Source organism: Homo sapiens, chromosome 1 (assembly GCF_000001405.40).
Source record: "Homo sapiens chromosome 1, GRCh38.p14 Primary Assembly".
NCBI lineage: Eukaryota > Metazoa > Chordata > Mammalia > Primates > Hominidae > Homo > Homo sapiens.
Genome location: NC_000001.11, coordinates 180,211,024 through 180,226,698, shown reverse-complemented (window position 1 = coordinate 180,226,698; position 15,675 = coordinate 180,211,024).

Below are 15,675 nucleotides of genomic sequence, written 5' to 3'. Positions count from 1 at the left end.
GGTGCGCACCACCACGCCCAGCTAATTACTGTATTTTTAGTGGAGACGGGGGTCTCAGCATGTTGGCCAGGTTGGTCCCAATCTCTTGACCTCGTGATCCACCCGCCTCAGCCTCCCAAAGTGCTGGTATTATAGGCGTGAGCCACCACGCCCGGCCATTCTGAGGCTTTTCTAAAAGCATTCGCCTCTTGTATGAGCTGGGTCCCATTCCCAAGGTCCTCCAATAGCATCTATACCAGCCAAGACGCTTCACTTCCCCTGGGACCTCAGCTTTCCCATCTGCAAATGAGGAACCCCTAGCAAAAAGCTTTCCTTAAACAGATTTTAGTGCCTACTGCTGTTGATGGTAATAATAATAATAATAACAACATAGTAGCATATGGTAGTAATAATAACTAATATTTATTGAAAGTTTGCAACTGTACTAGGCACCAAGGCAAGTGCTTCTACCTGCATAATTCTACCTATTCTTCATGAGGAACTGATGCATGGTTTCATCATACCTACTTGGTGGATGAAAAAACCGAGGCTAGCAGGGGCTAAGCTGTTTTCTACCCCCAGAGAATGGGAGAATGGCTGAATCCCACAGAAGTCCATTAATCTCTACTATGGAATGGCCCAGAAAGACCCTTGGGGTGGGACTCAGTTTGGATTAAAATCCCTGAGCTGACTCAGCAGGGCTTTTCTCACTACAATGCACCCAGGGCTGGCAGGTGACCTCCCAGGAATGTTCCTCAGAGCCAGCCATGTCCCTTTGGGCCAGGACCTGGTTGGAGGTTGAGCACTAGAGGATGGGCCTGTGGTGGGGTGATGTGGCTTTCTTCAGGTCTAAGTTCTGTCAGAGAACTTGAACAATAGCCAGTACAAAGTATCCAGTACTTGCTAGACATTTATACATTCCATTTCTGGAAACCAAACCCAACATGTCAGGGGATCCAATTCAGAGGCAAGACACTCAATTTAGGAAAATGATTATAGCTTACATTTATCTAGCATTTTACATTTTACAAAGTTCCTCCACATATTTTATCTCCTATTATCTTCATAATTATGCCCGGGCTTGGGTATGATTATCAGGAAACAGAGAGGTTAAGTGGTTTGCCCAAGGTCACACAGCTAATAAATTGCAGTGCCAACTGGAAATTAAATCCAGTCTTTTAAGTCTCAACCTGGTGTTCTTTCCACTCGGCACAGCAGTCTAGTGTGTCTTCTAACCCTTCCATTTTAAGAGCTTCACAGAGTAGGCAAGTTCACTCTCAGATGCCAGGAATCCTGAACCCCAGGCTCTTTCTCCACTGAGGGACGAATCTCACTGCCCCTGCTCCCCTCCCTGTCATCCCAGCTCTAATCATCTCCTCCTCATCCTCATTCCTCTCAAGGCCCCTTTCATTATTTGCATTTTGAAACTGTTTCCTTAATTATTCTCCTGCTGTTGGAAACCTGCTCTCCCGGGGCTCTGTGGCATCCTTTGATTTATCTCTGTCTGGATAACAGCTCCCCGATTCTCCTTGGGGAATTCAATTTTCATTCATTTTTCTGCTGGGCTAGATTGATATAGACCCTCTGCCCCGGTCCGTATTACTCATCCCCGCAGAGAGAACCAGGGAGACCAACCCTAAGCCCAGCCCCTGGGGAGCCACTGTCTTGTTCAGGGAGCCACAAGGAGTTCTCCAATAAAAGGACAGGGGCCTTTGCTCTTCTCCATCTGTCCACCCAGTCCTTCCAGTCATTTGTCACAGGGCCTTTCATGGGCCCACCACTTTGTCATTTGTCTCATTCTCTTCCCAGAACCTTGCAGGGATCTCTCCCCACCAGGATGCTGATCAGAAGGCCGTCACTACTCATCTTAAACCTGCCCTGTGTCCTTGACACAGGAATTTAAGGGATATGGGAAAGAGATGGTCCTGTACTTGGCCATCTAACTCTCAAGATAAGATTCTGTCTCAGTTAGTGGCTAAGAAACAGGACAAGAAAAGGGCACTGGGATCCTTAGAGGAAGACGGAAAGCAACAATGGCTCACACTTACATTGCCAGCCCTGTTCTAATGCTGCATGTATATTCCTCATGAAACCCCCACAGATCCTTAGAGGCAGGTACTATCATTATCCCTATTCTACAGATGAGGAAAATGAGGCACAGAGAGGTCAAGTGATGTGCCCAAGGTTGCACAGGTGGTAAGCAGCAGAGCTAGGATATGGTCACAGGTAGTTTGGCTCTATCCTTGCAGCATCACCAGCATCATCAAATAATCCTTATTTAAGGGTTCCTGGGCATGGCCAGGTGAGGGGTCCATGCAGAGTACATGACCCAGCAAGGCCAAGTCCTCTAAGCCCATCTCTGAAGCTATCACATCCCATGGCTGTGTGTATGGGGGAGCTGGGGAGTTTAGTCTTGTTCCAATTTCAGAGTTAATTCTCTTTATCTCTCAAAAGTCTATAGTACTGGCTGGGCATGGTGGCTCATGTCTGTAATCCCAGCACTTTGGGAGGCCAAGGCAGGCAGATCACCTGAGGACAGGAGTTTGAGACCAGCCTGGCCAACATGGTGAAACCCTGTCTCTACTAAAAATACAAAAATTAGCCAGGCACAGTGGCAGGTGCGTGTAATCCCGGCTACCAAGGAGGCTGAGGCAGGAGAATTGCTTGAACCCGGGAAGTAGAGGTAGCAGTGAGCCGAGATCACGCCACTGCACTCCAGCCTGGGCGACAGAGTGAGACCCTGTCTCAAAAGAAAAAAAAAAAAAAGTCTACCTAGATCATTCCTTAATTCGTGCATTCATCGGGCATCTATTGTATGCCAGCTCCATGACAGGCCCTGGAAGGCAATGACCTGGAGTGCCAAGTGCAGACAGTTCACAGCTTACTTTGCTCCAGGACTGGCAACATTCCCATAAAATTATGTCAGCAAAGTTCTCCAGATGCCTGTCTTCCTTGTGTTGGGAAGGGGTTGGAGAACTGGGTTAGTAAATGTTTGGGTTCTGGGCTTAGATGACGTGCATTCAAATCCCAACTTGGATACATTCTGGCAAGTTCCTTTTCTGCTGTCCCTAAAGTCACATAGCTAATAAATTGTAGTGCCAACTGGAAATTAAATCCAGTCTTTTGACTAAATGGGGTTAACAACAGCACTCTACTCACAGATTGTTACCCACCGCACCTAGTAAGCATCATGATTATACCCTCTGCAATATTTTGCTTTTTTTTTTCTTTTCCTTATTTTACATTTATAGGGGAAACCAAGGGACAAGAAACTCTCCTGGGTGTTCTTAAGTGAAGACTAGACTTTGGGAGCTCTTCTTTCCTAAGCATGCATTTGGGATAGAGAGAGCCCCATGGCCATGGACTGTTCTTGGTTTTCCCCTTTTTGCAGGTGGAGGAAACCTGCTCTTTCAATTCTGCCACAAGCTGAGGTCAATGTGCCAGAATTGCTTCTTGGGTGAAATTTTAGCTATCTTGTGAAAAGCTCCACTCCGTCATGGCAACAGACACCTTGCTTATACGAAGCAAAGGGGACAGGAAGGTATAGCTGGGCTGATTCTGTATTTTTCCTTCGGAAGCTGTTCTGCCCACACTGCCTTGCACCTATGTTCTCTTCGTTTTTGTTTGTTTTCTGATTTGACTTAATCTCCAAATTTATGTAAAGAAGGAGCTTAGATTCCAGATGCTGCACAACTGCCACCTTCCCCGCTTCCCCCTTTCCTCATCTTCCCTCCAGGATTCAGCGGCATCTCAAATCCAAGAATGGTCTTAGTGACCAACATTTTTTATAGTGCTTGACAGTTTACTAGGTGCCTTTCCATACCCCATCTCACCGAAGCCTCACAAGCCTCACCGAAGCAGGTAGATCACGTCATACTCCAACCACTTTCTAGATGAGGAAACCAAAGCACAGAAAGGTCGTGCTGTCTGGGCTTGACCTAGGGCTCTGTCTCAGAGCTTCTAACCAGATGATCCATTTCTCAGCTCTTGAAGAGGACGCTAGAAATGGTAAGGAGAAGGGGTGGAAAGCCCAGCCTGGCTCCATTTTAAATAGCTGCAGGTGTCAAAGCTAATCTATAAAACAATCCCGTCATTGTCTTGGCGAAAGATTTTTACTAGAGGAGTCTAATTCAACAGTTTCCCTTCAGGAACTGACTTATAACCAAAACATGTAAATGTGTTCGATGTGGGCAGAGGAAACAGGAGGAAGGCCCAGGAGGTGTGTGTGAGGACAGGCTGTGAGGCAGGGGCCAGACTCCCGATTCTGGAACCCGACAGACTTCAGTGTGGGTTCCAGCCATGCTGCCTGCTGGGTGTGACCCCGTGTGAGCTTCCATTTACTTATTTGTGTAATGGGATAGTGACAATTCCTACCTAATACCATTGGCAAAGGAGGAATAAAGCCTTTAGCACAAGGCCTGGTGCAAGCAAGCCCCCATAATTGTGATGCTGTTTATTGTCCAAGAACAGGGGGTTCCCTGCTTGGCCTCTTCTCACTTCTCACATCCTGGCTCACTATGAAGAGCTTGCCACTGGTCACCAAAACTTTCTACTTGAAAACACTGACCTGCAGAAAAGGGACCAGGTCACTAGAACTGTGGCCACTTTTGGTGGTCAAGGAGGAAATATTGAGAGCTTTGGGGGGGCAAAGGATTTCCCCCCAGACCTCACCTGAGGAGGTACTCTGCAGAGAACATAAAACCTGGCTCTAATCTACATCTGAGTTTTATGTCTGTGGGAAGTTAAACCCCGGGAGCCTCTGTTTTCCCATGCTTAAATGGGGGTGATACTCCCATAATTATCCTGAGAAGAGGCTGTTGGGGATCAGGAGATCCCACAGGCAAAGCTCCTAAGGCAAATGCTCCACGAATATTCCTTCTACTACCGGGCCTTTCACTGAGCTCCTCAGACTTTCCCATGCATATCATCACCGGGTGCTGTTCAAATGCAGGCTCTGACGCCATATGTCTGGGCCTAGGATTCTGCATTTCTAAGGAGTTTCCCAGGGATGCTGATGCTGCTGGCCTCTGGACCTCAGGGTATGTGGGGACGCTCCAGTACTCCGCTGCCCAGAAAGCAGCTGCTAGCCACATGTGGCTGCTGACCACTGGAATGTGGCTGTGAGAACTGAGATGGGCTGTAAATTGAATCATGTACTAGATTTTGAAGGCTTAATACAAAGAAAAGGATGTAAAATATTTCATTAAGATATTTTAAAATTATATTATATGTAGAAATAATAATTTAAATATATTGGGTTAATCTATTGTTCACATTAATTTCATTTGTTTCTTATTTGAGCGTGGCTACTAGAATATTTAAAATTACATAAGTGGTGGCCGGGCGTGGTGGCTCACGCCTGTAATCCCAGCACTTTGGAAGGCCGAGGCGGGCGGATCACGAGGTCAGGAGATCGAGACCATCCTGGCTAACACGGTGAAAACTCCTTCTCTACTAAAAAAAAATACAAAAAATTAGCCAGGCATGGTAGTGGACGCCTGTAGTCCCAGCTACTCGGGAGGCTGAGGCGGGAGAATGGCGTGAACCCAGGAGGTGGAGCTTGCAGTGAGCCAAGATCACGCCACTGCACTCCAGCCTGGGCGACTGAGCGAGACTGTCTCAGATAAATAAATAAATAAATAAAAATTACATAAGTGGCTGACATTATATTTCCATTGCACAGCGCTGTTCTAGGGTGCTCTGACTTGTATGGTACTTTAAAAAAAATGGATTCGGGGGTACCTGTGTGAGTTTGTTATATGGGTGTGTTGTGTAATGCTGGGGTTTGGGCTTCTAGTGAACCCATCACCCAAATAGTGAACGTCATACCCAGTAGGTAGTTTTTCACACAGTTGTGTCCTCCCTCCTACCGCCTTTTGGAGTCCCACTCAGGTGTATGGTACTGTCCACACACACACGCACTCATACACAGAGCAGTCCCCTTTCCTCCTATCCCCTAGCACGGTTCCTGGTACCAAGTAAGGGCCTAATAAGCACTGCCAGGTGGAGGAACGGAAGGCTGCCCACAGATGGAGCCACATGAGCAATGGGCCCACCTCACACTGAGGAGGAGATGTCAGCTGCACAGGTGGGAGCTGAGCAGGTGGCTGTGCCTGAAGAATGACAATCTCCCCCTTGCAGTTGACCCTGACCTGCCACCCACCCATTCTTTGTCATCCTCCTCCCCATACTCTGCTTTTTCCAAGACTCTGGTGGCAAAGAAAAAGGAATTCCAGTGCTCCCTCCCCAGGTTTTGCCAGATAAGAGGACAGGGCTAGAGAGGGATGGGTCACGGGATTGCCTGAAGTCCTGGAACACTGCATCCCACAGGCTTCCTGCTAAACGGGAAAGCCACCCAGGATGACTCCATGGGCCCCAGTCCTTTTCTCTGCTCCCCTCCTACAGTTCACATCACCTCCTCGGCTTCTCTTTGGGGTCCTCGCCCCACCTCTGCCTAGGGTAAACTCATGGCCATGGGGCACAGGCCAGACATGAACCTGCACAGCCCTCCCTAAGCCTCTGTTACCTGGGAGAAGAAGCCCCAAGCAGCCCAGAGGAGTTTCACAGAAAGAGCTGGAGCGCCGCATCTGAAGATGCACCACCTCCCACCCAGAAAGAACGTGCACCCCGAGCCTGGACCTCCATGGCGGCCCTGCCTCCCACCCAGAAAGAACGTGCACCCCGAGCCTGGACCCCCACAGTAGCCCACTCCCAGTGACCAGGTCAGGTTTCAGGGCCTGTGATCTGAGGTCTGGGGTGGGGGTCATCTGGAGGGAAATCCAGCCCCGGGAGAGGCACTGGTGAGCCAGGAGGAGGCCCAGGGTGCTCGAGAGCTGGGCTGCACCCCAAACTGCAGGGCTCTGAGTGGATCTCTGCCCCTCCACAGAGGCCCCTGCTTGTGTGTCCACGTCGCCCACCCCTCCTTCTGACTAGTCCCCCTCAGTAAGCGCAGGGCACTAAGCAGGACAAAGAGAATTCTCGAAGCATGTGCACTTACCAGAGGTCAGGGGAAGAATCTGCCTTCACGGTGAGGGTTTGGAGGAGGAACAGCCTGGGAGCAGAGATCCTGGCAGGGCCCAGGGCTCTAGAGAAATCAGGGCGTTTGTAAGTGGAGGTAGCCTCCCTGTGGGGAGGAACCTGGAGAAGGGGTGCCCTGGGTGGGCCAGGGCGTTCCCCAGGAGGAGGCCAAACCTGAGGGAGCGCACAGAGCCCCGAGGATGCCCCGCTCCTCTTTTCTCTAAGAGAAGGTGCTCTGCTCCCCCTCGGAAGCTGGGGAAATGAGGGTCTGCCTAGGGGGAGGGTAGCAGAGGGGCTGGAGACCGCCTCAGAGAAAATTAAATTGCACTTGAGGGCAAATTCTATTAGGGAATAGAGCCTGTCTCTCAACAGCCTGCGTCCATTTAGGTGATTAGCTTGGCCCAACACTTCCACCCAGAGCCTGGTGAGCTCTGTCCCTCCGCTGGGGGAGCCAGGCCGGAGGTCCAGCTGACCCGCTCCCCTCTCAATCCCCGTCTCACCATTCACAGCCCCCAAGCTCTTTGACAGTGGCCCAGAGGGACAAGCATCTTGAGTCTCTTCTGGAGCACAGAGGGGGTGGGCAGCTTCATGGAACACATGGAGAAAAGGACAAGCAGCACCCCAGGGACAGAGACAGATTTACCCTGCTTCAGTCTGGAGCAGGGACAAGGGAGGTCAGAGGTCAGGTGGGGGAGAGCACTGGGCACTGGGGTAGTCAGGGGGCTGGACTTGAGGGGCTGGGAGGCAGGAAGGATGGGAACGGGTGGAGGAGACGACGGGGGAGCAAGAGGCCAGGAATACAAGTGAGGAGATGGACAAGAGAGAGAGTCTAAGTCAGCAGGGTTCGGACCCAGGGAGTAGGAACGGAGAAGACAAGTGGCTGGCGTCTGATGATGCCGTGTAATGGTAAACTAACGGAACATAATGGTAAATGGTCAAATAAATCCACCCGTGAGTGGGCATCATAAAAATAACATGCACCTTAGGCTACTGTGTTGCTTTAGCACACGTTCTAAGAGTTCAACAAATGTTGGCCAGGTGCAGTGGCTCACGCCTGTAATCCCAGCACTTTGGGAGGCCAAGGCTGGTGGATCAGTTCAGGCCAGGAGCTTGAGACCAGCCTGGCCAACAAGGCGAAACCCCGTCTCTACTAAAAATACAAAAATTAGCAGGGCGTGGTGATGCGCGCCTGGAGGCTGAGGCAGGAGAACCACTTGAACCTGGGAGGCCAAGGTTGCAGTGCGCCGAGATGGTGCCACTGCACTCCAGCCTGGGCAACAGAGAGATATTCTGTCTCAAAAACAAACAAACAAAAAACAAAATCAAAAAACCACAAATGTCAGGGCCATCGTGAGCTGTTGGCCGTATGTTCATACACTTCACACTGTCTCCACACTTTGGCAGAAGGGTCTAGATCTGAGGCCCTTCCAGGGCCCACTTGCCAATCCATTATTTCCTAGCACCAGTGGCACCACAGGCCCCTGATCCACAGGCCCGTCTCAGCCAGCTGGGCCCTCCTCTGGGGCCATCTGTCCATGAGAAGATGCTCCCTCCTGTCCTTCATGTTGATCAGTGAAAGAGTTTGCTTGATTTCCCTCAATTTCTGACTATAAAATTATTTCATTTGCTTAACAAAACATTATTATGCACACACAGTGTGTTCTGAGGAGAGCCAGTGCTGTTTCTAGAACATGGAGAAACATAAGCACAAGCAATTTAAAATGAGCTCTGAGCAGGAGCATGGATGGAGCTGGAGGCCATCATCCTACACAAACTAACTCAGGAACTAAATCAAATACCACGTGCTCTCACTTATAAGTGGGAGCTACATGATGAGAACACATGGACACACAGAGGGGAACAACACTGGGGTCTATCAGGAAATGGAGGGTGGCAGGCGGGAGAAGATCAGGAAAAATCACTGCTGGGTACTTAGGCTTAATACCTGGGTGACGCAGTAATCTATACAACGAACCCCTATGACACAAGTTTACTAATATAACAAACTTGCACATGGACTCCTGAGCTGAAAATAAAAGTTAAATAAAATGAGCTCTGAGAACACGTAGTGGTGTATAAAGCATTGTCTCTGACCGGTGGCATGAGTTATTCTAGTTTAGGGGACCCTCTCTCGCAGGCTCTCCTAAGGCCCACCATGTGCCCTGAATTCCAGGCCCAAGTGAGCTTCACCCTTAAACCAAAGTACTTATGTTGCTGGGGTGGTTGCACTCCCCCAAAGAGCAAGGGGGATCTGTGTTCTTTGGGGGAGCGAAGGGGAGGGGGTGCTCAGAAAGGGAAGACCCCTGAGGGAGGGAAAGAGAGTATGCAGATGTTCCCCAGCTGTGTTAGCTGCGCAGAGGGTTGTGGCCTGTTCTGCCGACACTCTCCAGCCCAGGGTCTCCCTTGAGGGGCGGCTCCTGACCAGAGATGGGTTCCAATGAGCCCCTCCCCAACCCCTGACGCTTGCCCAATTTCCAGGGCGCAGGCTTAGCATCTGAAGGCACGTGAGGAGTCCAGGAAGCTGGCTGGGGTTGCAGATGGCCTGGCACCCTCCCAGTGGAGGCTGTTCAAGTTTCTTTGGACACACCAAATAGCACTGACAACTGACAAGGCCCCTGTTTCCTGAGAACACTCTCTCCCCCAACCCCCGTGAGCATAGGGGTCAGTTCCCTCCTTGGGATTCCAGCCATCTTCATGACAACACCACCCCTGATAAAACATGCTCCCGTCCTTCATGGGGCTGGGGAACTTCCACCATGTCCCAGCCACCCACTCCTGGGGACCCTCTCCAGTGGCTTTTAGAAAGCATTTGAGAACCGCTGATTCACATTAGCTTCACTCTCCAAGGACAATCAGTGCCCCAGTGCTGGGTGGACGCTCCCCACCAGCTTGGAGACCTTGGGCAAGTTATTTAACCACACAGATGACTTCCTCGTAGGGAAACAGAGAGGGAGTCCCTGGCTGTCAGGGGCAGACATGAAATCACTGTGCCGAGACAGTGATTTGTTATACTAGTAAAAGGGTCCTCGGGCCCTTTTACTCCTCTCTACTGACAGCCAAGATGTGGTCTAGCGCACTGTTATATTTCCAGCTCGAAGTACAGCGCCTGGCGTATTATGACTTCTTAGTAAATATCTGTTACAAGATTGAAGTGAGTGAAAGAATTTCTAAGTGATCCAATCCACTGCTCAGGCCCAAGAATGGAAGAAACCTGAGCGCATCTTCCCTGGGTCAGCAGGGCTGCGGAGGTGGCATCCGCTCTCGGGAGCAGCTGAGCAGCCTGTGGTGGCTCTGTCGGGCCTCGTTAGACGACTGGGCCTGTTATTGGTGTGGGCAGCTGGCTAGATCCTCACAGTGCTGCTGCTGTCAAGGCCCCACTTACCCTTCATCTGTAATGGTTCCTGGCTTTTTATGTACTTCCTGCTCTTCCGCGGCACTCTACAGACTCTATTACATTTGCCACATGGTCTCCTGTGATGAACACTCGGGAAGAAAGGAAAAGCCTTCGAAAACGATCCAGAAACCGAGGCACCAGCCTTTGGCTTCAGCCACTGGTGGCTGGAATAACGCTGGAGTTCTGGCCTATGCACTTTCTATGTGATTCTCCGGGCCCAGGAGGCCTGTCCCGCTCTTGCTGCATTTCCAAGTCCTGGCCGTTCCTCCAGCCAGCTCAGGAATCAAGACTCATGCACCTCTTAGTATCACAGGATCATATCATCAGATTGGAAGGCATCTTAGAGGTCTTCAAGCCCAACTGCCCAACCCTTGCTGAATTATGTCTGCGGCATCCCTGGATGGCAGCCATCTGGCCTCCTCGTGAACATAGCAGGTCTCAGGGGCTGTCTGTTTTCAGAGACAGCCGGGACCATTGCTAGGCAGTTCTACAGCAGGACTACTTCTTCCCACAAAGTTTTGCCTTTGAATAAAGTAACTTGAAGGTTTGATTTTCCTGGGTTGTATGTGTGTGTGTTATTTAAGTGCTAATTTAGTTAGCACTTAAATTACTGTAAATCAGTACTTTCAAAATGACTTTAACATCTGGAGTTGCTTGTTTTTTCCACTATTTCTTTAACCCACAATAATAAGAGTAAGAGTTGATCTCCAAACTTCCACATTAGATCTTTGCTTTTTCAAAGTGGACAGCTGATTTTTAACTAAATTTAAAATTGTTTACTCTTTTCTTTTCTGAGACCAGGTCTTGTTCTGTTGCCCAGGCTGGAGTCCAGTAGTATAATCATGGCTCACTGGAGCCTCAACCAATCCTCCCACCCTCAGCCCCCTGAGTAGCTGGGACTATAGGCTTGCACCACCATGCCAGGCTGATTTTTGTATTTTTTGTACAGATGGGGTTTCACCGTCTTGCCCAGGCTGGTCTCAAACTCCTGGGCTCAAGGGATTCACCTGCCTCAGGCTCCCAAAGTGCTGGGATTACAGGCGTGAGTCACTGTGCCTGTCCCATTATTTTCTTAAAAAACAAAAATGAGAGGGTGTTTCCATAGTGTACTGGTTATCACATTCACCTAACACGCGAAAGGTCCTTGGTTTGAAACCAGGCAGAAACAAGCAGTTATTTTCCTTCTGGCTGGGCGCGGTGCCTCACGCCTGTAATCTCAGCACTTAAAAAAAAAATTGCTCTAAAACATTGGGTTGCCACTTACATGATCACACCCTTAAAGATTACACAATAGGCCGGGCGCGGTGGCTCACGCCTGTAATCCCAGCACTTTGGGAGGCAGAGGCGGGCGGATCATGAGGTCAGGAGATCGAGACCATCCTGGCTAACGCGGTGAAACCCCGCCTCTACTAAAAATACAAAAAATTAGCCGGGCGTGGTGGCGGGCGCCTGTGGTCCCGGCTACTCGGGAGGCTGAGGCAGGAGAATGGCGTGAACCCGGGAGGCGGAGCTTGCAGTGAGCCGAGGTCGCGCCACTGCACTCCAGCCTGGGCGACAGAGCGAGACTCCGTCTCAAAAAAAAAAAAAAAAAAAAAAAAAAGATTACACAATATTGGCCAGGCGCGGTGGCTCACTCCTGTAATCCCAGCACTTGGGGAGGTCGAGGCAGGCAGATCATGAGGTCAAGAGATAGAGACCATCGTGGCCAACATGGTGAAACCCTGTCTCAACTGAAAATACAAAAATTAGCTGGGTGTGGTGGCATGCGCCTGTAGTCCCAGCTACTTGGGAGGCTGAGGCAGGAGAATTGCTTGAACCTGGGAGGCGGAGGTTGCAGTAAGCTGAGATCACGCAGTGCACTGCACCCCAGCCTGGCGACAGAGTGAGACTCTGCCTCAAAAAAAAAAAGATTACACAACATTATGTGTGCAACACAGCATTCTCCCATATGGAGTAGGCCCTTGGTGTTTATACTGCTCAGAAGAGGCCATGGCACTGTGTTGCACAGGTGGCCCCAATGAACCACATCTCTGATATTTGAATGTTCTTGTGGAGTCCTTTTTTCTTGAGTCTGGACTGGACCTGTGATTTGCTTTAACCGACAGAAGGTACCAGAAGTAACACTGTGCCCATTCTGGGACTAAGTTTTAAGATGGCATGGCACTTTAGGGAGCTTTGAGCCCCCATCTGTGCAAGAAGTCCAACTACTTTACCAGAGAGACCTTGGGCCTTGTGGAGACACTATATGGCGGGGAGTGGGGAGAGAGACGGGGGTGGGGAGAGAAAGGCCCAGCTGTCTTGTGAGTTCAGCTAAGCCCAGCCTTCAGCCTGCCCGCCAGCTGAATGCAGCCACATTAATGACCCTGGCAAGACCTGCAGAAGAGCTGCCCAGCTGAAACTAGCCCAGACTGCAGAGTCATGAGCAAAGAAAATGAGTGTTGTTTGAAGCTAAGACATTTTGGGGTGGTTTGTCAGATAGCAGTAGAGAATTGAAATAGGCCAGAATACAATGCCGCATCAGATTAACCCTCAAATCTCAGTGGCATAACAAAAGTACAGTGTTTGGCAGGTGGCTCTAACATTTTATATCTAGAATGTGTGGTTTCCTTTGTGGCCAAGACAGACGAAGGGAAACTGGAGAGTTGAGCACCTTAGCCCGCTCTAAGTTACGGGCATCATTTCCTTTCCGGGAGGTGGCGCTCGCTTCCATCTCATTGGCTAGAATTAGTCACGTGACCCTGACTCCCGGCTGGAGCCTGAAAATCTGGGGAGCCGATGGACTGGCGGGAGCATGATTGCCTCTGCCAGTGTTCTTGGACTTAACATTCAAATGTTCAAATATGTGTGAGTGACTTGGAAATGCTCTGATAAGTAGGAGATAGTCGTTTTGCTGAAGTAGAAATTTTCCCTATTTTATTTTTCTTGCAGAAGTAATACACATGCTTTGCAAATAATTCAAACATCTAAGCGTCTATAGTAGCAAATGAATATCCCCCCACTACTGTAAAATTCTATTCTGCAGAAGTAACTACCAGTAGGAATTTGATGGATAATGTTTCAAGCTTTTCTTCTAAGTTCCTAACAGATAGGAATGCACATATAAACCAATATCTTTTTAATTCAAACACGTTTACTGTTTTCAGTAAATCCATACTGTTCATACTGTTTCAGTAATCCATACTGTTCTTTGGTTTGCTTTTATAGTTGAATAATCTATTATGGATGTTGTGTCATTTCAGTGCATATTTGGTTTTCTTTACCTTTTTTTTTTTTTTTTTGAGACAGAGTCTGGCTTTGTCACCCAGGCTAAAGTGCAGTGGCGCGATCTCGGCTCACTGCAACCTCTGTGTCCCGGGTTCAAGCAATTCTCTGCCTCAGCCTCCCGAGTAGCTGGGATTACAGGTGCCTGCCACCACGCCTGGCTAATTTTTTTGTATTTTTAGTAGAGATGGGGGTTTCACCATCTAGGCCAGGCTGGTCTTGAACTCCTGACCTTGTTATCCACTGGCCTTGGCCTCCCAAAGTGCTAGGATTACAGGCGTGAGCCACTGCGCCTGGCTGGTTTTCTTTGCTTTGCTTTTTTGTTTTTGAGCCAGGGTCTCACTCTGTCTCCCAGGCTGGAGTGCAGTGCAATCATGGCTCACTGCAGCCTTGAACTCCTGGGCTCAAATCATCCTCCCACCTCAGCCTCCTGAGTAGCTAGGAGTATAGGCATGCACCACCATTCCCAGCTAATTAAAAAATTTTTTGTGTGTGTGGAGATGGGGGTCTCGATATTTTACCCAGGCTGGTCTTAAACTCCTTGCCTCAAGCGATCCTACCACCTTAGCCTTCCAAAGTCCTGGGATTACAGGCATGAGCCACCATACCCTGCCATTTGTTTTTCAGTGGTTGTTGGATGTTCCACAATGTTACTATACAATAATTTTGTCACCTGTTGATGGGCAGACTATTTTTTGCTACTACAGATGCTGTCATGAACATTCTTGTACAAATATTTTTCCATACATATGCATATATTCCTACAGGTTAGATCCTGGAAATGGATTTCCTGGATAAGGGTAGGCACCTTTACCATTCTGAAAGATTACTGCCCAAAAGCAGCATATTCGGTAAACTCCAGAAGGGGTTTACCATGTACAAATCTAATGCTGTTTCTGAGAACCTAAATATCCTTTAAAAAATACTTTTTGGTATCTCTCCTCTTCCCAGGATGCTGAGTGAAACCAGATGAGAGGGAGTTTAGTCGGCCTGGGGCAGTTGAGTCGTAGCAAAATCAGGAAGTGTTTTACTTAGTGGTGGGAGTTGGAGGCTGTGTGTTCATTTGTCAGCCATTAACTGAGCAGCCAGGGTGACAGAGAGTTACAGGATGGTGAAGATGAGCTCCTGCCTTCCTGGAGTTCACAGTCTGACAGGGAAGGCCGACGAGTCGGCACACGACGTCAACAATGCGACAGGAACTGAAAGAGGGGACAGGGATGGTGCTCACTATGGCCTACCCACCAGAAGGAGAGCCTGGCTGCAGCGAGGGCGAGGTGCCCAGGGAAGGCTTCCAGAGGAGGTGGCATGTGAACCCAGGCAGGAGTTTGGTAGGGAAGAATTTGTGGTGGGGAGAAGAGCACATACAAAGGCCCAGGAGTGAGAGAGCCTGAGACTCAGGGGACCCACAGATCCTACAGTCCTGCCTGGGTTGAGGGGCGCTGGTGGGGCTGGGCAGAGGGGCAGCTGGAGAGGTAGGCAGTGGCAGAGCGCCCACAGCAAGGTCCTGCCACTATGCACGAGTTAGAAAAACTTGGTCCTGAAGCCTGGACTTCTTGGCCAGGACATCTTCCTAAAAAATACTTGAGGCGGTGCCCTCTCCTGCTGGAACACCCCAGTGGCCCGCTGCCCACAGGATCCAGCCCACTTCTAGGCTGTTCCTTCACTCCCACGTCCCACCTACTCACTCTTAGTCACTCCCCGGCTGTCCCCATCCCCACCACTCATGCTAACCTCCTGGCAAGCCCCCTGCTCTTCCTGCATGAGCCCCACACCCCCACCTCTCCCGCACCCCACCACCGAGAGGAGGAGGCAGCTGCTCAGGGCTCCCACAGCCCCTGGTTGCCTGTGTCTGTCCCCTCTCCTCTGGACTCCACACTCCCTGAGAGCAGAGGACCTCATCAATATTTGCTGTGAATGTTACCACGCCCGTCTTTCTTCTCCCTCAGGAGAAGCCCACCCAAAGCTCTCCTCTGGAGGGGGACAAAGTTTCAGGAACAGCACTTCTGTAGGAGACTTTCTCCCAC